The sequence below is a fragment of the Homo sapiens genome, chromosome 4, assembly GCF_000001405.40.
Source record: "Homo sapiens chromosome 4, GRCh38.p14 Primary Assembly".
In the NCBI taxonomy this organism is placed as follows: Eukaryota; Metazoa; Chordata; class Mammalia; order Primates; family Hominidae; genus Homo; species Homo sapiens.
The window spans coordinates 74,364,718-74,392,158 of record NC_000004.12 but is presented as its reverse complement, the minus strand read 5'-3'; the positions used below and the strand labels follow the sequence as shown (position 1 = coordinate 74,392,158).

General features: G+C 36.9%; 1 protein-coding gene and 1 long non-coding RNA gene across 2 annotated transcripts in view, besides 1 other annotated feature; one reads left to right on the top strand and one right to left on the bottom strand.

The window, feature by feature from the left end:
- Positions 1–3,409: 3,409 nt before the first annotated feature.
- Positions 3,410–27,014, bottom strand: EREG (epiregulin). The gene is made up of 5 exons (NM_001432.3): positions 26,784–27,014; positions 12,625–12,711; positions 11,022–11,145; positions 9,365–9,514; positions 3,410–7,432 (listed from the first exon to the last, which is right to left on the bottom strand). The coding sequence occupies exons 1-5, from the start codon at positions 26,848–26,850 to the stop codon at positions 7,351–7,353; spliced, it is 510 nt and encodes a 169-aa protein (NP_001423.1). The 5' UTR covers positions 26,851–27,014; the 3' UTR covers positions 3,410–7,350.
- Positions 16,782–17,981: an enhancer, noted in NCBI's record as "P300/CBP strongly-dependent group 1 enhancer chr4:75239895-75241094 (GRCh37/hg19 assembly coordinates)". NCBI's record gives its function as "activates an origin of replication core promoter dependent on BRD2, BRD4, P300/CBP, MED14 and CDK7 cofactors, with strong dependence on P300/CBP, by STARR-seq in HCT116 cells {active_cell/tissue: HCT116}" and the evidence as "EXISTENCE:reporter gene assay evidence [ECO:0000049][PMID:35650434]".
- Positions 26,818–27,441, top strand: part of LOC105377276 (uncharacterized) — an 87,048-nt gene continuing 86,424 nt past the window's right edge. The window contains exon 1 of the long non-coding RNA NR_188415.1: positions 26,818–27,008. This is a non-coding gene — a long non-coding RNA (uncharacterized LOC105377276). The remainder of the gene's footprint in view (positions 27,009–27,441) is intronic.

The following is a 27,441-nucleotide window of genomic DNA, read 5'->3' as shown; positions in this document are numbered from 1 at the left end:
TGTCCCTTTTACCATGGAAGGTAACATATTCATAGGTTCTGAGGATTAGAACACAGATATCTTTTGAGGTGAGGGGTATTGTTCTGCCTACCACACCAATTTATGGTGTCATTCCTCTGATTAAAAACTATAAATGATTCTCAATGGTCCATAAATGTAAAGCTTATCTTTTTCTTACATCTTTACTGAGCCTTCAAACTAAATTTGTAACTATTCTCAAATATAGATCCTCTGCTACTGTCAGGATAGTCTCCCTGACACATCGTAAACATGCTATGCTTTTTGTTAGTGTTTTTGCTGATTATTCTCCCATTTGAAATGTCCTACAATCTCTCCTTTGCTTATATCAAAGTCCTGTCATTTTTTCAAAGTCCAATTAAAGTCCTACCTCTTCAGTGAAACTTCCCCTCTCGAAGTTACCTTTCTCTAAATTATTTTGTATGATACTATCTACTACATATGGTGGACTTCTGCTATTTGTCTTTTCAGAATTTATTCATTCTTCTGGTAATAGCATTTTATTTTTCTTTGGGGGATTTTTTTTTCTTATTAGATACAGACTTTTGCTTTTCTCAGCTAAAGTGCCCTTCTTTGGCCAGGGGTGTACTCATATTCTCAGTTAGACAGTCATATGCTGTCTTCTTAGACCATGAGCTCCCAAGAAGTAAAATGGTTGGAATACACAACTTCTAGAAACAACACACTGCTACCTAAATCACTAGAACTGTCCTGTTTTTTAGCTTTTACTCTAATTCTATTGACTGTCTCATATCTTTCCTATAAATGTTTTAGTTTCACCAGAATTGGTTTTTTCCCCTAAAAATCAAGAAACCCTAACTATTAAAGCCTCCACTGTTCTTTAAATGTTCTCATAACTTTGAATCTCTCTTCTAAGTTTTTTGCAAATGATAGTATATTTTATACTCTTTTGAATATTCCACAACCGTTTGCAAATTACTAGACACAGAAAAGCTTTTCAATAAATATTGATTAATTCATAAAGCACTGTTTTTATTATTTTTTAAGAATGCAGATTGTTTCTGATAGTAACTTGAAGGTCAGAAACATGACACATACTTCTTTGGAACACATCCTGCCATCCCCAGAAGAAGGGATGGTGCTGAGAATAATAGAAAAATCATTGATTCATAGATTAATTGGAAAGGTCATCATTGGTCAACAATATATGATTGTATTTTTATGTATATTTCATAACATCTGCTAGTATAACCAATCCCTTATCTGTTCTGTATCACTTAGTCACTTAGTCACATGTTCTCCATTCATTTAGCATGTAATGGATCCACGTACATTATCTGCATTAAATGAGCGTAAGTTTTGCTTATTTTCTTAATAGGTACTTTGCCCTACAAGCTAATAAGAAAATTATGGAAGTCTTTTCCCAAGTATTTCTCTGAAATTTAGATAAACTGAGCAGAGTATCTGTGTTTGATTTTGTATGACAGATAGTTAGCATTAGTGGGTGACCAGACAGGATATTTAAAAGTGATCCATGTTTTATGTCTTTTCTTAATGAATTCATGTTGGAACTTAATGAACAGCACATATATTTCATGTTTTATGACTGTTTAGGGAAAAATATGTTCTAGAATTGATCAGAGTCAAATTCAGTGCTTATAATTTTATCCTTTTGAAGACTCTGATATTCTGTTTAACTCCAGTTTCTTGGAATCTTTTTCCTCCCTCTGCATAATCTCTTCAAAATGACCAATTCTGCCACCATTGTAAAAGTTTAGGTTATTTCTCTCTGAAATCACTTGAAGATGAGTAATTTAGCAATTCCCAGAGAGAGAGATAGCAGGTTTTTGGTCTGAGATAAAAGAAAGATTGAGTTGAATTTTATTGAAATAGTAACTATATTGAAGAAACGTTTATAGGGGAATATTAGTTATTGATCGTGTCACCTTTGAATGCCTAGTGAATATGTAAGTGGAGATGTTAGGTAATCGGACACAGATATCTGGAACTCATGGCAAATATCTAGACTGGGAGAAATCAGTATATAGACAGCAATTAAAGATATGAAACTGTATGAAATGAAGTAGGGAGTGGCTATATGGAGAGAAAAATTACAATATTGAGCTCTGGGGCACTCTATTTTTGATAGGTCCATGGTAGAGAATAGGGAAATATTGAGGAAGATCTAGCTAAAGACTGAGAAGCAGGTAGAAAAGCAGATGAGTGTGATATCCTGGAAACCAAGAGAAAAAAAAGTGTTTCTAAGAGTTCTCTTCCTTAATCTTCTGGATTCTCAGACCTTGAACAAAATCAGTGTAATGATTCAATGACAATTCAAAGATTCTATTTTACAAGAATTTCTATTTCTCCCAAGAAAACTCTAAACTAGATCTGAGACTAACTCCTTATAATCTTCCTCTGCCTCTGACATGGCCCGAACATCAGTGGAATTAGGAGTGAGAAGACCTGAATTCTCATGACACCTCCACCTATTGCCAGTGGTGTGACCCAGGACAATTGCTTAACCTCCCTGTCAAAGGGTTGAAGCCATAGGTCCCTTCCCCAGCTGCAAGCTAATGAAGGATCCAAGGAGCTAAGGAATGGAGCAAGTACTCTGTAGGCTGCTGAATAAGTATACCAAGGAAGCCATCCATCACTGTGATGAAGGGTGGGAAGAATCAAGCTTGTCTGCTCTAAAGGCTCAGGGGAGCCAAGCCTCTTTGCAGAGGCTGAGAGAATCATAAGGCACCATTCTGGCTGATGAATCTTTTCAAATGCTACTTCCCAATAGGATATCTATTCTTTTTAGAAATACTCTTTTAAAATACTCTTTAAAATATTATTTTAAAAAATACTAACCCCAGGCTGGGCATGGTGGCTCATGCCTGTAATCCCAGCACTTTGGGAGGCGGAGGCGGGAAGATCACAAGGTCATGAGTTTGAGACCAGTCTGGCCAACATGGTGAAACCCTGTCTCTACTAAAAATACAAAAATTAGCCGGGCATGGTGGCACGTGACTGTAGTCCTAGCTACCCGGGAGGCTGAGGCAGGAGAATCGCTTGAACCCAGGAGGCGGAGGTTGTGGTGAGCCGAGATCGTGCCGCTGCATTCCTGCCTGGGCAATAGAGTGAGACTCCATCTCAAAATCAATCAATCAATCAATCAATCAATCAATCCTAACTCCTAGGATTTTTAAATACCAACACCTAGAATTTTATAACTAATGTGGCTCCTTCTATTACAAGAAATTCTTCACTATGCTGGCTATAAAACGTGATACATTTATAGAATGTTTTCCCAAATTAACACCATTGAGTCATTATGTCTACACACATTATATCCCTGTCACTGCTTTTAAACCCTTTAATGTATTGTGGGGAAAAAATTGCAAAAGAAAAAAAAAGAATGAGGCTGCATTGTCAGTGAAGATTTTGAATGCAAGATGTTCAATGCATTTTTATTTATTTCAATTTTTTTCAATTCCCAAGAAAAATAAATAAAAATTAATAATATCTTGTAAATTATCTATTTTCTCCTTCAATATCTTAAGGTACACAATTATCAAAGCTGATATTGAACACAAACAAATTGATACAATTCAGTAATCCGATAACATTCATAGTCAAATAAGTTACTTCAAATTGCATGCAATACAACTTTATGTTCCATAGCATCTTTAATAAAAACCGTTTACCAAAATGGCTCTTCAAACTTAAAAAGTGCAATTACAGAGTGCAAAATAAAAAGAAAATACATTATATTACATTTAACATCATCAAATTTGAATAACAGATATTTAAATGAAATTACTCTTTTTAAAAACATTAAAATATACACCAGAAATACTGTTTGTACAAGTCATTACTCCCCCTTCTCCCATATGAACAAGAATTTTTTAACGGTCAGAATATATTGGGCATCAAATTAAAAACTTTTTTTTCAAAAGTCTACAGAATGGATATTGGAGCAAAAATTACAAAGTGGGTCAGATACAGGTTTTTAAAAACTGCATTACTGAATTTAACAAAAGTCAGACACTAGAATCATATATTTGCTGCATAAAAGTTGATTTGATACCTGGTGGTGATTGAATTTAGTCTCAAAGACTCATAAATAAAAATCTGACTTAAGACGTAGTCATACCAGTATACCAATTCTCCCATCACTTTGACTTTCGGCAGAGAGATTAGAGCAAAAAATATTCAGGAGAACAGTGGAGTTACATTGTATTATGTATGTTTAATATAATATCAATTTTAAGGTTAAGGTTAAGGAAATCTTAATTTTAAGGTTAAACCTTGAGTACTAGTTATAGAACTTAATATTCCTGGTTAAAGAGTAAGTTAACTGGGTTATTATGTGGCCTTGGTTGAAGACCATAAATTATGCATTTATGCATTTGTGGTTGCTTTGGTTCTCAATACATTGAATATGCATAGCCCCTTCTAGAAATATATATAGTGAGAAATCTGTAAAATGGGGGAGTTAGACTAAGTGTGAACTAAAATCTTCCCACTGTGTACAGGACACATCAGCTGAGAGCAAATCAGTTTTTATGTTTACTCAGCACCATCCTCACTAAAACTATTATTTTTGTCTTATTTTCACCCATAAAAAGTAATGTGGGTCATACTTTATTATTTAATATGCATTTACAAAGATCTAACTATTTTAGGGATTAGCTTTTTTAAGCATTCTTAAAGATGAAAAATACAAAAATGACTTGTTTTTATGAATTGACATGCTTAAGATAAACTGACAAACCAAGATTGAGATGCTTACAATAAATCTTTTGTAAATGAAATAAATGGATTGCAGCTGATTTATTGAAAAGTCAATAGATTTTTTTGAAACAGCCAAGATCACTGAAAATATTCAGACTCTCCTCACATCTAGTAAGCGTTAATAAATACAGTTGTACCTTGGTATCCACAGGGGACTGATTCCCAGATCGCCCCCCTGCACATACTAAAATCGGGCACAGATGTTCAAGTCACTTATATAAAAGGGCATAGTGCTTGCATATAACCTATTCACATCCTCCTGTATACTTAAATCATCTTTACATTACTTGTAATACCTAATGTAAATGCTACGTGCGGTGGCTCACACCTGTAATCCCAGCAGTTTGGGAGGCTGTGGAGGGTGGATCTCAAGGTTAGGAGATTGAGACCATCCTGGCCAACATGGTGAAACCCCGCCTCTACTAAAAATACAAAAATTAGCTGGGCATGGTGGCATGCGCCTGTAGTCCCAGCTGCTCAGGAGGCTGAGGCAGGAGGATCTCTTGAACCCGGGAGGTGAGGTTGCAGTGAGCCGAGATCGTGCCACTGCACTCCAACCTGGGCAACAGAGCGAGACTCCATCTCAAAAAGAAAAAAAAAAAAGTAAATAGTTGTTATAATGTATTTTTTGTTGTTGTTGTATTATTTTTTAAGCATTTTCCGTCCTTGGTTGGTTGAATCCACAGATGTGGAACTAACCACAGAGGGCCAACTGTAAGTAGAGTATTTAAAATGTGTTCTTACATATTTTGACTTCAGCTGTATTAAATAGGAAACAGAAATAACTGTTTAGATCTAATTGATTTTTCTTTTCTCTTGTTTTTAAGTTTTATATAAATGGTTAGCAGAGCACCAAATGACTGCAATTCTATGATCCATTAAGGTCATGTATACATACATGTTTGTATATGAATATATATACAATATGTATATGACCATATATATTTACTTGTTTTTGTCTGTTTATTTTCCTAATAGTAAGGGCCAGGGCCAGGACTTTAGATGACAGTCGTGTGATTGCACCAGGGTATATAATGCATGGATACACATGGAGACAAGTCCTGGCACCTGGTGCTCCAGAGGTCAGCCATGGCTTATTATGCCTTCGTTTACCCTAGCACATGCCAGGATAAACGTAGAGGAAGAACAGATCCTCCCTGACCTGGTATGTGATCCAGGGAGACTCTACTCAAAGGTTTAGCATTCGATGAAGGAGCCTCCCATAAAATCCAAAAGTGGTGGCAGCAGTGGCTCCTTATGCAATAGCCCAAAAATACTCCTATTAACTCTCTGAGACCTATGGGCTCAGAGTGCAGAAGAAATCTTTGTCTCTTCCAAAAAATAAACAAATGTCAGGAAAATGAGCCCTAGTTTTCATCTCAGCCTCCACAGGAAGGTGTGTTTAAGTTTCTACATTTTAAAAGCTTTCAATTGAGATTTTTCATTTGGAAAAATACACCATATTAATTTTTAAGTTTTTTCCCATTTCCTGTGTCAAGATACAACTTTAAATACATAACTTTACATTCTAGAAGAAGCCATTTACTGAGCTGTATTAAAGTTAAAACTTCCTTGAATAAAAGATGAAATAACTGTATTTCCATCTTAAGACAACATGTAGAATTATTGTCTTCATATATTTTAAAATAATAATTAGTCCATCAAATTTTGGGCTGTGATTTAATGTTAGAATTCAGCAAAGCCCCTATAAAAAGAAATAGTCTAAAAATATTCTTAAAAAGCACAAATTTAGGCTTCAAGTGTGGACTTTTTTCTAATTGTCTGTTGAGCAATAATTACCTCACATAAATGTTGTAATATACAAAAAAGGAACATTGTGAAGCTATGAAATGCCCACTACTTAAATAAAAGATTACAGAAAATTGTTTTTCAATTCATTTTACATAGGCAGAATCTGGTAGATGAGTGACTAGTACCTGTAGGAGTCGTGAGTTGGCATAGGGAACTGTCCACTGCCCCTCATATAACAGAATTATAGCTGAGACCTGAGTGAAGAGACCATAGACTCCCCAGGGTTAGCTTGTTTCAAATGTGTAGTGTTTAACACAGGACCTATATTTGCTTCTCCCAAATTCTAATTGCATTATTGTTTTAATATATGATACCATGGTGCCAACTACATATCAAACCATGGTACAGTCAAACCAATTATCACTGATTTGAGGAACATAAAAAACATACTTACTAAATCGATTTGACTATATATATAGGCTTACAGAAATCTGTCATTTGCTAACAATTCTTGAGCTATGACCTGGGAATTGCTTACTTCTAAGCACTGTGCACCAGGCATATAAACTTTGAAGCTTTCAATGAAGCATTTAGCTCAGGAAATTACTTGTATAAAAATATCAATTTTCTTTTGATATTAAATATTTTCTGCACATTATACATTAGCAAATAGTCTGTCAAAAATAAAACAAAAATAAAAACATTTTTCAAGTACATTAAAATACAGTGTTATTGACCTAACACTTGACCCAACATAAATATTATTAATAAAATGGGAATATTAATATTAACCAGGCACACTGTTATCCCTGCCCATAAGTTTGATGGCGCCATTCAGACTTGCGGCAACTCTGGATCCCCTGAGGTAACTCTCTCATATTCCTTCTTTGGTTCTTTACTTTTTCGATTTCTGTACCTGGAAATATTCACAAACGAAACTGTTAGCACTGCAGTTAATAGCAAAGGAACAAGTGTGTTATATATGGACTCCAAAGGCACATTAGCATAGTGTTTCCAAAATGACAAAGTTGAACAGATTTAGGTTGGACAATGTTAAAAAAAAAAAAAAAAAGAGGGATGAAGAGGTGATGTGCTGTAGTCAAACAATTTTGGAATGAAATGATAAAATACACTTAAAGAGTTTCTCAAAGTCTTTAACGTGATCATGAATATTGTGAAATTCCAAGAGGCGTGTGGCCACATTTAAGTCTGAATTTTAGGTTTTCTTTTTCTGTCTCTCTTTCTTTTTCCTTCCTCCCTTCTAAGGAATGAATATTTACAAATCATGCTACATTAATACACTCTTTCCATCACATTGATATAATGCTATCACTAATCAAAATAAAAATAATATTTATCAGGCACTAATTTGGTGACCTACAATTTTCTAAGTGCTATACATGCATTATTTATTTTACTCTCACATTTGCTGTTACCATCCTCATCTTACAGATGAAGAAAGTGAAATACAAATGGGTTGTATATAATGTGCCCAAGGTCCAAGGTCTCATAGCTAGGATTCATAGATTTATCATAATTTAGAATCTTCTTTCATTTATTCATTAAGCTATTTTCCTAATATTTTTGAGTTTATTTTGTCCCTATTTTGGAAATAAGACATGTAGCTTTGAGGAAACCACATCATGTCTATGTTTACTGTAAGAATATGAATTAGAAAGAATTTGTTCTTCACTCTGGCATTTGTCAACTATATGAGCTGGGATATTTGAATGAACCTCTCTAAACCTCAGTGCCCCATCTATAAAGGAAAGGATTGTGGTCAAAGATTTGCAGGCATATTTCAGTTTTAATAATATTTAGTTCTGTCATGGCAACTTATTAGGAAGGCATTATTATTTGATGGATACTTAGAATCAAATGTGGACAAAATAAATTTAATATTATGAAAGTAGCACACTTTCAGACCTTCAAAATTGGAAGTGCACTACTTTCACAGAAAAATAAAAACGTAAATTCACCTTGAGTAATTTGTAACTGTTTCAAAATATGTTTCATGGAGACATTTTAAAGGGAACTGTTATTAATTAATTCACACTGTTCCCATCCTTTGCTCCTAACCCTTAAAAAAATGCCAAACTATACTTTCAATGTTCACTTTCTATTTTTCTGTTTTCAGCTTGTGACAATAATGCACATGAGGATGAGGTACGACTGTTTTGGGGGACTGACACAAACTATTTTTTAACAACCATTTTTTATAATTGTCTAGAAATAGTTCCACCAGTCTGCCTTAAACTGTAAGATAACCCAAGCTTCTAAGGTTATTAATTTACAAGGTTGTTTTTTATAAAATAAAAAATGTGACTTGAGGAATTAAATTCAGGTGGTTAACTATAACAGTAGCACCTATCCTATGATTTACTTTCACATGAAATATCATATTACATACTAAAAGCAACCACCCTATAACTAATGTAAGATAATAATTTCTGTCCATATTTGATAAAGAAGGGAATTGATACTCTCAATTTGACTTATGTAAGGTCACATAGGTAATAAGTATCAGAGCTGATAATAAAGTTCAATCCAGATGTTCTGCAGCAAAAACATATTTTTAAAAAATAATTTCAAGTTATTTCAGATTCGGGGGTACACATGCAGGTTTCTTAACAGGATATATTGTATGATGCTGAGATTAGGGGTACAGCTGATCCCATCACTCAGGTGTTGGGCATAATACTTAATAGTTTCTCAACTCTTGTAAATATCATTTGTACAGGTTTGATCTTATCTCTCTAATACTTTATCCATATTTTTACCCAGTTTATAGGTCTGCATTATGTAAAAGTAATTTGTAAAAGCAGAGTATAAAACCACACTGACTTACCATCTGCAGAAATAATATGTGGAACCGACGACTGTGATAAGAAACAAAATAATAAGAATCACGGTCAAAGCCACATATTCTTTGCTTAAAGGTTGGTGGACGGTTAAAAAGAAGTGTTCACATCGGACACCAGTATAACCCACTTCACACCTGAAGGAAAATACGGAAGAAAGAAAGATCAGTTACTTAAAAAGGAAATCATGGTTATGAATTAGTTTTATAAGGACTAACATCACACTGTAATGCAAGAAATCAACAAAATTTGCTAAAGATTGTAAAGAGGATTTCAAAGATTGAGTTAGACCAGTAATGATAAAAGGGCTCCACGTAGCTCTTGGACTAAATTGTAGTATTAAAATGACGGTTGTGTTCAGCTGTCATGGTGGCTGACAGTCCACAGTGGTGTTTTGTAAGTTGTACAGGTTTGAGATTCCTTTTGTCTAAATCAGTGGAATCAATTCTTTTTTTGTTTGTTTGTCTGTTTGGTTTTTTTGAGATGGAGTCTCGTTCTGTCGCCCAGGCTGGATAGCAGTGGTGTGATCTCTCGGCTCACTGCAACCTCCGCCTCCCAGGTTCAAGCAATTCTCCTATCTCAGCCTCCTGAGTAGACTACAGTCTTGCGCCACCACGCCTCGCTAATTTTTGTATTTTTAGTAGAGGCGGGGTTTCACCATGTTGGCCAGGCTGGTCAGGAACTCCTGACCTCAAGTGGTCTGCCCGCCTCAGCCTCCCAAAGTGCTGGGGTTACAGGGTTGAGCCACTGCGCCTGGCCTGGAATCAATTCTTTTTTTTTTTTTTTTTTTTTTTTTTGAGACGGAGTCTCGCTGTGTTGCCCAGGCTGGAGTACAGTGGCATGATCTCCGCTCACTGCAAGCTCCACCCCCCGGGTTCATGCCATTCTCCTGCCTCAGCCTCCCGAGTAGCTGGGACTTCAGGCGTCCGCCACTACCCCTGGCTAATTTTTTTTTTTTTTTGTATTTTTAGTAGAGACGGGGTTTCACCGTGTTCGCCAGGATGGTCTTGATCTCCTGACCCCGTGATCCGCCCGCCTCGGCCTCCCAAAGTGCTGGGATTACAGGCATGAGCCAACGCGTCCGGCCTGGAATCAATTCTTAAAACAATACCTGATATAGAAATTGAAGGAAAAGATCCAAAGCAGAGAGACACCATCTTGGCAAGTGTGAGAAGCATCAGAAGTCCTCCCTGCTCTGCACCTCTGACATATGTGTGCAATTTAAAAGCTACTATTTACTACCTAATTTTTAAAAACTCAGAAAAGTTTCTAATAATATATATACTGCATTTAACAGCCCATGGAAATATAGGGTAATTTCAAAATATAAAAATAGAAATACAAAGAGTAAAACTGCATTTGTTTATCACATGTTCTCACAAGTGGGAGCTAAATAATGTGTACACATGGTCATAGAGAGTGGAGTAATAGACTCTGGAGACTTCAAAAGGTAGAAGAGTTTTGGGGGGGTTAAGGGATGAAAAATTACCTAATGGGTTCCATGCACACTATTTGAGGGGTAGGTACTCTAAAAGCTCAGACTTCACCACTACTGAATATATCCACTAGCAAATCTGCACTTGTACCCCTAAATCTATAAAACAAAATTTTACAAACTGTGTTTGTTTATTTCTGACATATTACCTGCAGTAGTTTTGACTCATGTCCACCAGATAGATGCACTGTCCATGCAAACAATAGCCATTCATGTCAGAGCTACACTTTGTTATTGACACTTGAGCCACACGTGGATTGTCTTCTGTCTGAACTGTAAAAGAAGTGGAAAGTTGAATATATTCTGCAGCCTTCATGGAAGAATTTCTCACTCTTTCATAACAGTAACCACTGAACTACTTCTACACAACAAGTCAGATGCCAATCTGTCAAGGAGAATTTTGAGAAGTAGGAAGTCACTCTAGTTGTCACACCCCCTAGACCAATCAATAAACACTTGAATCCAAAGGAAAATGTCCAACAGACTAAACAAAAGAAGATAACATGAAAGGATTTCATTCTCAAAAGACAACCTGTAAGGGTAGAGAAGGCAAATTTAACACACAGGTGTCATTATCCTCCAAGTGGGTGTTATTTCTTCAAGCAAAATTTGTCTAATTTTTCTCAAGTCCCAAAACATTTCTGAAATCTATTACTCCCCAAAGCAGTTGCAAGCTCATACCATTAATTAATTCAAAGGAGCTTAATTCTACAGTGGATTTTTAATCAGTAAGGCTGGCTTTGGTGTATGTTTTCAAGTTGCTGAGGTTACCATTAATGAAATTAACCAGTCTCCCAATATCTCTGATAATGAGGCCTGAATCCAAACTAGACAAACCCTGAGTGAGAAAGGCCTCTGGTAGACAAATAACAGCAATGAAAATAGGAGCCTTTGTGTAAAATTCACTTTAGAAAGCTTTAGATACCAAAATGTGAAAGATGCTTATAAAATTACTTTTAAAATAGCAATTTGATTGTAATACTCTTGCCCAAATAACCAAAGAAGGAAAAAAAAAAAGATGATGCGGAGGAGGCTGACCAAACCTGCGGAGGAGGCTGACCAAACCTCCAGAGAACCTGATGGTGAGGGACAAAAGATAAAGTTGTTATGGAAAATATCCTGCTTCCTCAAAATAACTCAGTTATCTTGATTCAATAACTCAGAATGAAGATAAAGCTGATCCCCCTTGGACCATATCTGGAGTCCACAGTCCTCGAGGGGAAAAAACTGTATTACTTATCTTTGTATCTGTATGCCTTAGCACAGCGTTTGGTGCATACTACATACTCGATAAATGTTTTCTGAATGAACACTGTGCCTAGAAAGAAACGACTATCATTTGTTCTTCTTACAAAGAGAGAGAGAGGGGTAGAAAGAGAGAGATAGAGAACCTATTCTGTACAAAGTTTTCCTGTTTTGCTGTTTTGCCTGGAATCCAGTCAGTGTGGTCTCTGAGGATGTTTCGCAGTAAAGTGCCAGGAGACGGCCAAAGGGAATGCAATTTTTTGTTGTTGTTGTTCCCTATCTCTTCACAATCAAATCTGTGTATATAATTTATCCGGTCCCTCTCCTACCAGTTATTCCTTTATATAATTTTTTCAGAACATTAGTTTATATGGTGATTTAAAAAGTAATATAGCAGCTATTCTTACCCTTTTTTAAAAAATTATCACATACTTATAGTCTTTGAGTTTATATTTCTGTTTAAAAATATGTAGTCTCTTGATGCCACATTGACAAACTTGGGCTTACCTAAAGCTGTGCAGTTATCACTGGACTCTCCTGGGATACATGATGGAATCACAGTTGTACTGAGGACTGCCTGTAGAAGATGGAAACCTATTTATGAAGAAAAATCGAATATATAACTAATGTGTTAAGGAAAGAAATCTTGATCAAATTTCTACATAACTGCAGTACTTATAGAGTTGTTTTGTTTCACAGATTTGGTCCATCAAAACCATAAAACAAAATAATTCATGGAAACAGGCATGTAACAGAAAATACAAACTCCCCCAGCTATTCTGTGGAAGGATAAAAGCCTTGGCATTACATTCACGGTTACAGATTTGACCTGCTCTAAATATTTCACAGTAACATTTTCAAAGATTTGATTTTGAAGTTTGATTTCTTAAGACGCACATCAGTTGGAGAATTTCCACTGTTTTATTCCATCATGTGTTCAGAGAAATGCTCCTAATCAGACCCCATCACAAAAAAAGGCTCTAAATAAAAAATCGGTTTCCACTTACAGTAACAACAAGAAACTCAACCTAAGAAACATTCATTATTGATTTATGTACCTAAGTTACTCTTTGCATTGCATTACACATGAGTATAGATTTTAATTAATACAGTGAAAGCTAGGTAAAATCAGAATATATCTTGTCTAATATGAGGAGGAACAGGCATCCCAGATGAACCATACTGAGCCCTAGAATCCAGTTTCTATCAGCATAGGAAGAGTCTGAATCAGCTGTTTCATCATGTGTATTCAGTGAAAAGATAAAATTTTGGAACATAGATATCAAGAATGACTCAAGTACTTTCTGAATTGTGTAGGAATCATCATAAGAAGAACCCTTGTAATTTCACAGATGTTTAGTTAAGAGCTTTAGCTGCTTCTGTTTAAGCTTTAGGTATTTGCACTTCAAACACTCTTTCCAATTTATTTAAGTAACTGTTATATAGTAAATACTAATGGTGGTGGTAGTAGTAGTAGTAGCAGCAATTAAGCTCCACTAAATTAATTAATGGCTTCAGCTTGCAATTGCTTTGGGGAATAACGAATTTCAGAACTGAGATTTGAAAAAAATTAGACATATTTTGTTTGAAGAAATGAATAATACCTACCGTGGGGGATAATGACATGTGTGTTAAGCTTGCTTTTTCTACACCCTAAAGGTTGTCTTTTGAGAATAAATACCTCCTATGTGATTTTGTTTAGTCGGTTGGACATTTTCGTTTGGATTCCGGTGCTTATTGGCCTAGGGTGCGTGATAACTAGAATGACTTCCTACTCCTGAAAATTCTCCTTGACTGATAGGCAGCTAGGTAAATGTAATCTAGGTAAAATCAGAATATATCCTATCTAATATGAGAAGGAATAGGCATGCCAGATGAACCACACTGAGAATCCAGTTTCTGTAAGCACAGGAAGAGTTTGAATCAACCTGTTTCGTTGAAGTAGCTAAGTAAGTGGTAACTGTTATGAAAGGATGATTAATGCCTCCATAAAGGCAACAAAATATATTCAACTTTCCATTTCTTTCACAGTTCAGACAGAGGACGATCCATCTCTTGAACATGTACTATGTACCAGTGATATAGTTTGGCTCTGTGTCCCCACCCACATCTCATCTGGAATTGCAATCCCCATGTATTGAGAGAGGGACCCGTAATCCCCATGTGTCCAAGGAGGGAGGTGATTGAATCAATGCGGGTAGTTTCCTGCATGCTGTTCTCAGGATAGTGAGTGAGTTCTCATGAGATCTGATGGTTTTATAAGTGTTTGGAAGTTCCTCCTTCCCGCCTCTCTCTCCTGCCACCTTGTGAAAAAGGGGCTTGCTTCCCCTTCGCCTTCGGCCATGATAAGTTTCCTGAGACTTCCCCAGCCATATAGAACTGTGAGTCAATTAAAGTTCTTTCCTTTATAAATTACCCAGTCTCAGGGAAGTCCTTTATAATAGTGTGAAAACAAACTAATACAACCAGGTATGGTCCTATTCACCTTATCTGTATTATATTATTTAGTCCTCTCAGGGCCAATTTGAGGAAGATACTATTATTATCCCCATTAGAGAAAACTAAAGCATAAAGAGTTTAAATAACTTTTCCCAAGGATACATATTGTTAAATGGGCCACTTTATAGAATTTGGAAATAGGCAATAATACTAGAGTATAATGGACATCACAGAGAACAAATTATGATAGCTGTAATTGAAGTAGAGTATTTAACCCAACATAGAGGCCACAAATTATGGTGGAAAGGCAGTCTTGTGAGGAAAACTTGAGCTACGTGATCTTGAAAAAAAATTAATTTACTTTTCTGGGTGTTAATTTTTCCTATCTTATAGATTTTTGGGGAGAATACAGTGAAATAAACTAATGTTTTTTTTTTTTTTTTTCTGAAATGGCTGTCACAGCCCATAAATGTTCCTTGACTCTCAACTTCTAGCCTCTGGTTTTAGCAGTGTATGTGGACAGTGCCCTCTTCTGGTTTATAACAAGTTTGTCTATCTCTGTAATTTGGTACTGTAAAGAAAGATTTAATTCGTGTAATACAAGAATTTTATTTTTTCTCAGTTAGAGAAGGCTTGTATCTGTTAAGCCGATTGTATATTTTTGGGTTCTGAAAAGTAAATTACACATCGGCATCAGCATCATAATGTATAACTTCATATATCAAATTTCACACTTAATTCTGTGAAGTAGTTATTAGTCTCAAATACCCTCAGTGTATTTAAATTAAATGTCTTGTCTAAGATCACTTGTGACCACAGAAGAGAAGAGTTACAAATTTATCTTTTGAAATCAAGTCTCCTGTTCTTCAACAATTTGAAAATTCTGTTGTCTTTAAAGTTCAGAATTATCCCCTCCCCACTCCATGCTTTTTCTACAATATAAATGCTGCTTCAATTGCTCTTGTGGAACTACAAAAAATATATTTTTGTTGAATGACAAAGAAATAGCTAAAGCCTAGATTTCATTGTCAGTTGAACAGAGTTGAAAACTATTTCACTAAGCTTTTTATGGAGGATAAGCTAGATTCTCATTCAAGTCAATTTTGTTTTATATCCCAATAATAATTTCACCATACTTTCACTACTGAAGAATGAAATCCTTTAACTAATACAGTTTCCTCGGTACAAATTGGAGTTTTAGTTGCACGTGCTTACATCCTTGACATTCCTATTCCTACATATTTCTTCAACTGAGGAAAGCTTTGGAGGAGACATTACCAATTCTCCCTCCAGGAAAATGCTAGCCAGGGGGAAAAAAATGCACATTTGAAGCTAGTTTCTCTATCCTTTGCATAAACTAAAGCCTAACCTTTCCTGCTTGGAATTGCCTCCAATTGCAACCTGCAACTATTATAGAATCCAACTTACTTTGGAGTGTTGCTGTTAGTCTTCTTTTTTAAAGGTTTTTAGTAGTTGTTAGTTTTTCCACCGTTGGAAACTTTGTTCCAGTTGTTCAGGCCACAGGTGAAATGTTTGTCTTTGTTAATTAAAGAATGTTCAGCCCAGGGTGTGCCTCCACAAAGACTGGACTTTCCTTACTCGTGACGCTCCCTTGGACACAGTCCATCGCTCAGGATAGTTTCTGTGAGACTTGCTGCATTAATCCTACAGCAGGATATTTTACAGGTGGAATCGTATATAATTTTAAATGTTCCTTTCAAATTAAAGTGTATAACTGCAATTCCATCATGGATGGATGTGGCCAAGAAAACAGCAAAATTAATTCTAAGTCATGTCCATCTGCACAGCACTATTGCTTTAAAATAGTGGTTCTCAAATGTTCCTGCAATATGCGTCTGCTCCCAAACACTTGCAAACTAGGGTAGAAGAGTGAATGCGATCCAATGAATAAAAAATCTATCTCCAGAGAAATATTACATCCACTATCCTGTTAACCTTAAGAATCGCTGGTCAGGCCGGGCGCGGTGGCTCACGCCTGTAATCCCAGCACTTTGGGAGGCCGAGGCGTGCGGATCACGAGGTCAGGATATCGAGACCATCCTGGCTAACACGGTAAAACCCCGTCTCTATTAAAAATACAAAAAAAAAAAAAAAAATTAGCCAGGCATGGTGGCGGGCGCCTGTAGTCCCAGCTACTCAGGCGGCTGAGGCAGGAGAATGGCTTGAACCCAGGAGGCGGAGCTTGCAGGGAGCGGAGATCGCGCCACTGCACTCCAGCCTGGGCGACAGAGGAAGACTCCCTCTCAAAAAAAAAAAAAAAAAAAAAAAAAAAAAAGAATCGCTAGTCATTACTTTAATGAGTCATACAGGGAGGGAATAAATGCTAAAGCATGCATATATTTCCTTAATGTCAGGCTTTTCATGACCTTAGTGTTGTTTGAACATAATTTCTCTATGATTGGACCTCAAATACTATATTTGGCTTTTTCATTCTTGACAGTAGATTCTTCCTAAGCAAATAATTCACTACGATACTAAATATTTTAGATAGTATCTATGTCAAAAAAACAGATCTGGTGGCATTTCTTGTCTGGTGGCATTGGTAACTAAGATACAGAGGAATTTCTTGCCAGGTGATATAACACAGATGATCTGTAAACTCAAAATTGGCAGTTGGCGCTTCTTTTACAATACAGCTGCAAAAATGGAAATGCATTCAGAGGTCATTGTTTCTATCAAATTTCCAAATGGGTTTTAGGAATGTGAACCTCACCTATATATCTCTCTGCCTTCATTTTTCAGATTATGTTTCAGTGAAATCTCAGATGTGCCAGCAGGAAGTGGTGCCAGTGACTCAGAGGATACAAATCGCCTCTTCCCTGTGAGTCAGGACCGAGCCTACACCCTTACACAATATTGGGGACCGCGCGTGGGAGAGGTTGAGTGCCATCATAGGAATGGCAATAGCAGTAAATGTCGTGGGCCCTGGAGCACTAAGAAGTGGTTGCCCAACAGTCAGACAAAATGCCAGATGTAGAAAATGTACTTCCTATTGCATACGGTTTATTTTGACCTTGCTTCATTTTTATTTATATTTATTTTGTTTTTCGAGGCTCTTACTCATTTGCCCAGACTGGAGTGCAGTGGTGCAATCACTGCTCACTGCAGCCTCGAATCCCTGGGCTCAATGATCCTCCCATGTTGGCCTCCAAAAATGCTAGGATTACAGGCTTGAGCCATTGTGCCTGGATTTACCTTGCTTCCTAAGGATTGCACTGAGGGCTCATCCAGAAGGAGGCCAGTACAGAGGAGGCTAGGATTTGGTGACTGGATGACCAAGCCAAGTCAGCAAAATAATTGCAAATCTTAGGGTAAAATGACTATTCTGGAAAACAATCAAGAAAATAAAAATGATCCAAATTAAAATCAGATAGATTACAGAATAAAAGAAATGCATCTCATTTTCCCAGTTTAACCTTTTAGGCTATTTAGACCAGAAAAGCAAACTTGTGCAGAATCATAGCATTTGTCCAGCCCAAACACATAGCAAAATCCTCTTTGTTCACACTTTTGCTGTGGTCACATGCCAACCTACTCAGACTGTTCATTTTCTACCATCTTCCATGGCAGTCTGTGATTTTAGAATTTGTCTATAACGTAATAGGCTTGTTGGATCTTGTGTGCTTTTAAGGAGTGAATATGCCTTCACTGTTTTTGGATGTCTTTTTGTTTTAAATTTAATTCCACTATTTGATAAGCTCTTGCTTCACCTTGGTCAAAATAACTCTAAAACTCATTATCACATCAGATACTGAAAAGACTGTCAGCACCTTCTAGTAGCAACCTACTTTTCAGAGAGTATATATATGTGTGTGTGTGTGTGTGTGTGTATAGATATATATACGCACACGTATATACTTATATATATACATACATATATACTTATAAATATTACTTATATATAAATATATATGAACACATATATACATATATTACTTATATATAAATATATATATACACTCACATATATACACACATATATATAAATCTATAGAAAACTAACCTTGCCTTCTGCCAGTAATAATTCTATTCCTATATATTTTTAATGTTAGCTTTGTAACTGCACTTCATTAAGACCTAAGGTAAAAACGGTCTATAGCAATTTGAGATAAAACATATGAAACCCAAGGTTAATATAACAGGTTAAAAATAAGTAATTATTTTAATTTTGAGTTTTGAAAAATAGCCATAGAATCTTCCTTGACAAGTAGCAAAAATATTAATATGCCATGTGTTTCTAGTCATAAGCATTAAGTTATACTTTCCAATTTAGGTAGTCATTTCTAAATCATACTTCAAATGCTAATATATTTCGCTTACATATTATCATACAATGCTATACTTAAAGCTAGTCAAATAAAGAATCAGTGAGTCAAAATATAAGGGAATTATCTATTTTGCACTAAATATGAATTTAAAGATGTATATCTTGTTCATAACGGAAGTATTTCCAGAATGCAGGAGAATACATACCAACTCTTATGTAAAGAGTACAACCCAGCACTTTGGGAGGCTGAGGCTGGTGGATCATGAGGTCAAGAGATCGAGACCATCCTGGCCAACATGGTGAAACCAAAATACCAAAAAAAAAAAAAAAAAAAAAAAAATTAGCCAGATGTGGTGGTGGGCGCCTGTGGTCCCAACTACTCGGGAGGCTGAGGCAGGAGAATGGCGTGAACCCGGGAAGCAGAGGTTGCAGTGAGCCGAGATCACCCCACTGCACTCCAGCCTGGTGACAGAGCAAGACTCTGTTTCAAAAAAAAAAAAAAAAAAAAAAAAAGTACAATTTAAATTAATCTGAGTGTTTGGAACTCTGTGACTAAAATCTCTAAAGGTGGGACTTGCCTCCCCTAAAAGCCAAAGCTTCATTTATAGAGTATTGTTTCAAATTTTCTGTTGGAAACATATTTTTTTCTCAAGACAATCTTACATAAGAAGAGCTTTTTTATAACCTTTTCTACCTTGACTCCCTTCCATCGGGCTTCTCACTTCTATAAATCCAACTTAAATTATTCTTACATTATTATTCCAAAAGAAACATCTCCTGAAGGCGCAACAGTTTGGACTATAAGTGTCTGCAATTTGCCTTCTTTTCATTATGGCCACATTGTGGCAGGAAGCCTGGATATTTAATGGCATCTTGAGAAGCATATTGACTATATTGTATTCTCTGTAGATGCCTATGGCCAAACATGAATCTGCAAGGATAAAGTTTTAATCAGTGAGAGCACACAAAACAAGAGAAAGGGAATCCATTAAAGATGATTTCAAAAGACTCGAAATTAATTACTTTTTATTCAGAGAACCCACATAATACAACTCACACACTGCAGGCTGCTAAGGAATTCTACTTTCAGATAATATAGTTTATGAAAATATAGTTTGAGTTGACATTGGCGACCTTGACTTCAGTGAGAGCCACATATGCCTCCATAGCATGATAGCTGGTGGGATGGGCTTAGTTACAATCCAATCATCAAAAAGGAGGGCAGCTTACCCCATCCTTGCTTTTAGTAACTACATTTGTCAAATAATGTTTACTCAATAAATATCTATTGAGCGTTGTCTACATGCAAGATATTGAACAAAACACTGGAAAGAAAACTGGTACAAAAGACATTGTTCCTGCCCTAAATAGACTTAAAGAAGTTGGACACCTAAGGGTGGTAAGGAAAGGAGAGAATTTATAGATGATGCCAAGTTTCTAGTCAGAAAAAAAAAAAACAGAGAATGCTGCCATTAAAAAAGGAGGAGACATAGGCAGGACAGCAGGCTTGTGGTGGCATTTGGGCATGAAGGCATGAAGGGAGTGAACATATTTGAGTTTAATGTTTATCTATAGGTATTACCTATTTATATTTTTGAGGCTGTTGGGAATACAGTAAAGGAATAAGAATTTATTTGGAGATTAGGAGAAGTCTATTTGAAAGTCATATGAGGAGATACTGCCTTTAAAGGAATGGAAGACATTTATATGTTCCAAGGAAAACAGTATGAACTGGAAAATAACAGAACTTTGAGAAACAGGTGGTAGAGAGCAGACAGAAGTGGCAAAGAAAAGAGAAAAAGAAATTAGAGAAAAAAGAAAATTAAGTTTGCTGAGAGCTAAGAGAGTAGAGTTGTAAAAGGAAGTAAAGGGTGGTTATCAAAGGAATAATCAGAGACAGTATTCATGATTCCATCGTAAATAAGACTCATCATTATTAGATGTGAACGGTGCTAAAATCAGCAATAAATATTGCCAAGCTGATTTTTTAAACATGAGAATGGGCTTTATATTTGTATCCAGATTATCATTAAAATTAATTTTGTCTTGGTAACTCAAGCACTAATTTTCCAAACTGTGAAGTATGGGTGGCAATGTGTAACAGCAATTAAAAAAAAGTATATTTTATGTTATTGGTTCTAAACCAGGAGCAAAATTGCCAACCAAGGTTGGCAAAATTGTATCCCTCATTGGCAAAATTGCTCCTGGGGACCATTGCTACCATATGGTAATGTCTGGAGACTATGATGGTTGTCACGACTGGGGATGCTACTGACATCTAGTGGGTAGAGACCAGGGTTGCTGCTAAACACCCTGCAATGCATAGGACAGCCTCCCTGCAACAAAGAATTATTTAGTCCCTAATGTCAACTGAGACAAGGTTGAAAAACCCTGCATTAGACTCATGAGAAATGGAATCCAGTTCTAGCTCACATACTTATTTTGTTTCCCTGCAACTGAGCTGCCTTATCTCTGAAAACAGAGAACAAGGAATGAGGTGGGGTAGAGGGTGAAATGAAGTTTGGATTAGATTTCTCTAAGGTTTCTTTAATTTCTAAAACAATGCTTCTCTTTCTGCCACTGGCAGTCATATCACTGCCACTTTATTCAGTCATATCATAGCTCAGTAACCCCTCTCTCTTCCTCTCTTCCTCTCTTTCTGTCTCTCTCTCTCTATCTCTCTCTCTCACACACACACACACACAAATATCTTCAGTTAATACTGAATAATATAATAATATAATAAGAGATAAAAATGTGAAAGAGAGAGAAGAAAACTTATTAGACTTCATCAGAAACAACAACAGAATTGAATTTTCCAAAACTGTTACTTAACCTCTAGGTATTTTGCTTCTCAAAATATCTTTTTTAATATTTTTAAATACATTTTTAAAGTGCAGCTAATTGAGTCTATAACATAGTGGTGATAACTCCAAATAAAGTATCAATGTGATCATCCATCTAGCAAATATTAATTGTGTTTAATATAAGCCTATCACAATAGAAATGATAAAAGATGACTATAGCACCAGCAAGGAGGGATAGAGTTATACACACACTTACAGTGTGATGTGTGGTGTGACAGGGCCATAGGACAAAAGGAATGGGAAAGGTGCAATGGAGGAGGGTCAGGGCTTATCAGAGAAGTGCCTAAGGAAGTGGCTCCTTTTTCAGTCTTAAAGGATGAGTACTTTCACCAAAAGTAAAGAGTGACTTGAGGGCATTGACAGTAAAGGATACAAGCGTATTCAAACCCAAAGCCTTACATGCTGTGTACTCCTGTTTCCTCATTTGTAAAACGGGAACAATAACAACTTTCTGGGCTAAAAAGGCATCCTAAGAACTAAATGAGGCTTTTTTTTTTGTAAGAAACCATTTTTATGATGACAGCTCTAATTTTAAAAGTGCTTTCTATGAATTCATGTATCATCTTATCCATTAAATCTACATACAATTACCTGACAAGGTTATTGTGGACAACCTTTTTTTTTTCGGATGAGAAAACTGAGGCTCAGAGATAAATCACTCTTTCTGAAAGTATGAAAGAAAAAACTGGTGCATGAAATCTGTATTTTATACACTATACACTATGCCTCTTAGTTCAAGACTATAAAACTTACATATATAAAGATGTGTGTGTGTGTGCACGTATCAATCACTTTCATGCCTCAAATTTAAAATTGAGAATTTTTAACCTAAAAGATTAATGTTTAATACTTTTCTTTCTGAATATTACATATATCTCCATGGAATACATCCATATATCCATGGAATACTACTCAGCCATTAAAAGGAATGAAATAATGTCTTTCGCAGCAAATTGGATGGAGCTGGAGGCCATTATTCCAAGTGAAGTAACACAGGAGTGGAAAACCAAAAAACCATATGTTCTCACTTATACATGTACTATGTGTACTATGAGTACTATGTACTATGTACTATGTACTATGAGTACACAAAGGCATACAGAGTGATATAATGGACTTTAGAGACTCAGAAGGGGAAGGGTGGAAGGTGGGCTAGGGATTGAAAAAAAACTACACATTAGGTACAATGTACACTACTCAGGTGATAGGCGCACTAAAATCTCACAATTCACCACTATAGAATTCACCCACGTAACAAAAAACCAATTGTACCCCAAATGCTACTGAAATTTTTAAAAAAGGAGATGGAGGATAAACCTATATATTAAGAGTCTTATGAGATATATTAAAAAATCCATTTTTTTCTGGACAATTATCAAATCATCCTGAGTATTATAAATAGTATCCTAGTAAGTTAAATCATTACTTTAACCTAGAAGGCCACTCAACCTTTATGTGCCCTATAACTAAACACCCAGTCTTAGGTAAACTGCATCTCCAGAAGACGCTGAGTATGTGGCATTACTTCATTTTTTCAAAGGTTCCAGAATTGCCATGTCAAGGCAATGGCTGTCAGACTACTCCTCCCTGAGGATCTCTTCTATTACACCACTGGGAAGTGTTCTCATTGTCTCCCGATGGAATGTTCCCAGCAGCAGTTACAGCCATATTAATTAGACGATTTGTACAGGCCTACACTCAAAGTAAAGATTGACAGATGAGGAAACCCCACCTTAATTTACATTCTCTTTGAAGAGGATTTCTTACTTGACATTTGCATCTTTCACGTGAACATTAACCAGGAAATGGGAGATTCTTTTGCAAAAATAGACAGAAAACATTCAAATTCAGTTTCTCCGAAGTGATTATATGAGTATTGTTATTTTTTTTAAACCAAGGAAATACATTTACGTTCTCACAGTTAACAGGAATGGGCTATAGATCCCAAGTTGATCCCTTATCAATGCTATATCCAATTCACAATAATATACAAAGAATACAAGGAATAAAACAGACATAAGTTACCCTCTTTATTGCTTTACTTAATGTAAACCTTGGAAAATATAAAAATAAGGGCCCCAGTCAACTGACTTCAATGACTGCTTCATAATAAAAATCATATCTTAGGGGAACTGTGTTGATTAGAAATTATGAACATTAAGTAAAAATTCAACATATTTTAGCACAGCTTAAGAGAATAGTCACCTTTTATTTGCCTGATTTTGCACAGAGTCAGAAAGTCCATTTGTACATGTGCTGTGCCTATGAGAGGGTCTGAACCCTGGAGCAGCCCCAGCTACTCTGGAACTTCTCTATTAGAATCTGCTATGTTTATTATGCTCCTGCTAACCCTGAATCTCATTGGCTCTTTCCTCATTATCACAGAGTGACCTGGCCATTTACTATCTCTGAGTCTTTGTAAGGTACTTGACTTCACTGGGCTAATCAAATCTACCTCACACAGTTATTTTAAGAAGTAGAGGTGATGATGTATTTAAAGCACCTAATACACAACATGGCTGCCACACAGTAGGCATTTAGTAACTGTTAGTTTTCTTCTCAACTCCTGGATTTGGGTCTTAGTGCTGAATCAGACACCCCAATTACCCAAGCTGCTCACATGGCAAGACTGTGCAGAAGGTGGTGAGGGTACCTGGTCAAAATCCAGACAGGAAAGGCCTGTCATCACGTTTTCTGACAAGATTTGTCATCTCAGGTTGTGCCAAGACTCAGGTAACTCATAAACTCTCAGAGTCAACAGAAATGATCAAAGACAAGCCTATTGTCTCATTGAGATTTATGCTCCTCATATTTTCAAAAAAGAATATTTCTTCTGCTTAATTCTCTCTCATTGATGAAGTACGACTAAATTATCTTGGAGATGTCATTCAGGAACATATTCAAAAACCCATGTAGGCATGAATAAAAATGTTTGATGTTAAATAGAAAGCCCCTGAACATAACTGCAGAATTCAACATAAAAATTTATCCTCCTCTCTTTAGAAAAATCACAAGATAAAAAAGACAAAATTCTGCTCTAAAATTATAGATTATTTAAAAAAATGTTATCCGGTATTTCAACTCTTCTACTTAATGTTCAGTAGGCCAAAAATGCTAGCAAGCCCAAGTGTGGACTCTCACTTTGTCACTATTTTTCTATGTGAACTTGGGTCACAGTTCCCCAATTTATAAAACAAGAGCCTCAATATTAAACAAGTGTAAAATTTAAAAGTAACCAAATGATTGTGCATAGCAATTTAAATCTGTATGTGTTAAGGGTGGAGGCTGGAACTTTATTCCCTAGTCATAACTACATAAAGCAGTTATAACATGTATGCTAAAATTTAAAATAAATGTCTCGCTCTTTTTTGCTGGGGGAAGGACAAGATTTGGGAAAAGTATTTTTAGGAAATATTTTGTTTGGGGGAAAGAAGGCAATTTCAGAAATAACAGGTGGTCTTGCCAAAATAAGGCTATGGGCTCTGCATAACTGAATAGAGTTTAGAGATATAATACAGAACTTGAAACAGGAACTTTCCTAGTGGCAGAGAAATATCCAAACAAACTGGGAAAACAGAAACTGACCTAACTCATTTGGAAATGGGCTTGGCAGCTGACGAAATAGATGAACTATAATTAAGTAATGCAATGAAGGAGGTAAGCACTTTCATGACAACAAACACACACACAACACACACACTAGTGGGTAGTAACCAGGTTATTCACAGGCTCTGGCTGTCTCAAATTAGAATATTCAATGAAACACCCAGAACAGACATGTGCATTGTTCAGATGCAACCTTACATGTGGGGAAAATAATAAGTGCTAAGTTATTCTGACCTCGAGGTTAATTTCTAACTCTAGGAAGACTGTCACCTTTCTAATTTAATTCTTTTCAAAACAAAGACAGCAAAGCCACATTGTTTACTGAGAATCTTCTAGCAAGTCTTTCTTAGCTCAGTTTTGGCAGAAACCACATATCTAGTTTCCACTTGTGTTCCTGGACTTAGACTTGTAAGTTTCAATTATGCATAGTATGCATTTCATTAGGTCTCTCAACCCCTGAGATAAGGTGTGCCAAAATAATAATTTAACAGTCACATCCTTCACAGGTAGAGTTAGAGTGTCTGGGGAATCAGCCTCATTCCAACTCCAGGGAGAATATGAGACTGGTGGTAACTTTTATTTTTTTATTAAGATATTCATATACGACTTCAAACTCTTTCAAATTCCTTAAACTGAAGTTTAAGGAATTGGAAAGAAGTAATTTTTTTTTAACAGAAAGGCTATTTAGAAAATTTTTCCCCTTGAACTAAATCATCTCAAATAGGAAGACTGGCATTTAAATACCCTCAGCGATCACAGGCTATGGAGTGCAATTAGCAGCAAGTGCAGAACGCTTGCTCCAGAGGCTGCTTGGGAGGCTGCAGGGAAAAACGCAAGCAGCAGGTGTAGGGGCGAAGGGCGGTGGGGAGCGCCAGGACCTGCCCAGGGCCCTTCTGCTCCAGATACCCTCGACCAGTGTTTTATTTCTCTTGTGTCTGGAGCTCAGCCAACTGGCACTGGCGCATACCAGCTCCTCCGGGAAAGCTAAACCAGGCTAGGTTTTAGAAAACTGAGCGCAAGACAGAGGAGAAAAGCTTTTTCCCCCCTCCAAAAAATTTCTTACGCTAGTTTCTATTCCCCACTCTCCAACAAAAAGGAACAAGACATGAAATGTTAACAGTGCGTTCCAGGCCTTTAGATTTCTAGGACTGGCAACTTTTCAAAAAAAAAAAAAAAGCTTTTTCAACAACTTTTTATTTTGTTTAATAAGGAGATATTTCAATCCATGCATAACATATATGCCAATAATTAATTCACCAATAAAAAGCATTTTAACATCGATCCCCAGTCCCCCCCACCCCAGTCCCACCATAGGGGAAGACAGACTCACAAAACAAGACGTAATTTTAAATAGAGCACACTTGAACCTGGAGACAACTCCGTACTTGTCGAATGACAAATGCACAGGAGCCTTCCTTATTTGTCTCCTCTTTGGGGCGGCCGGAAGCCAGAGGGGGAGAACTTACCCAGGCAGAGCAGCAGCGCAGGGACCCTGCCGGCACAGAGCATCTCCATCCTCCTCCCCGCGGTCATCGGCGATGGGAGCGGGCGCTGGGGCTTGGCGGAGGGCGGCTGCGGAGAGTGCACGGGCAGGGCGGGAGCAGACGGGCTCGCGGCAGTGGCTGGAGAGCGGCTGTCAGCCTAGAAGGGACCCCACGTTGGCTGTGTCCCTCTGACACTGGAAATATCAGGCAAGTGAGCTCAACTGTCTGGTGCTGCGAACTTTATACTAGGGAGCCCCTCCCGGGCCCTAACGGGGTGAGGTCAAGAGTGCCCAGAGTTTCATAATTGGCCCGAGGGAGGAGCGGCAGGAGGACCGTCAGGAAGTCATCCTCCCTCCCTGGAGCACCTGAGAGTAGTGGTTGAGGAATGAAAAAATGTCTTTCCGATTGGCCGGGGACTACTCCCGAAACTTTTCCATCTCCCTCCGGGAGGTGGGGAGCGTGGACCAGATGGCTTGGTTTGCTTTGTGGGGTCACCTGCCCTGTAGTGGGTGGTTTTGGTTGCTCAGGGTGACGGACATAACTTGAATCAGTCTTTTAGCCAAGGCTGGCGTTCCCCATACATGCCTTTGGAGAGCTGTGCGTGTGACTTACTAACCTCAGCCACGAAAACTCCCTTAAC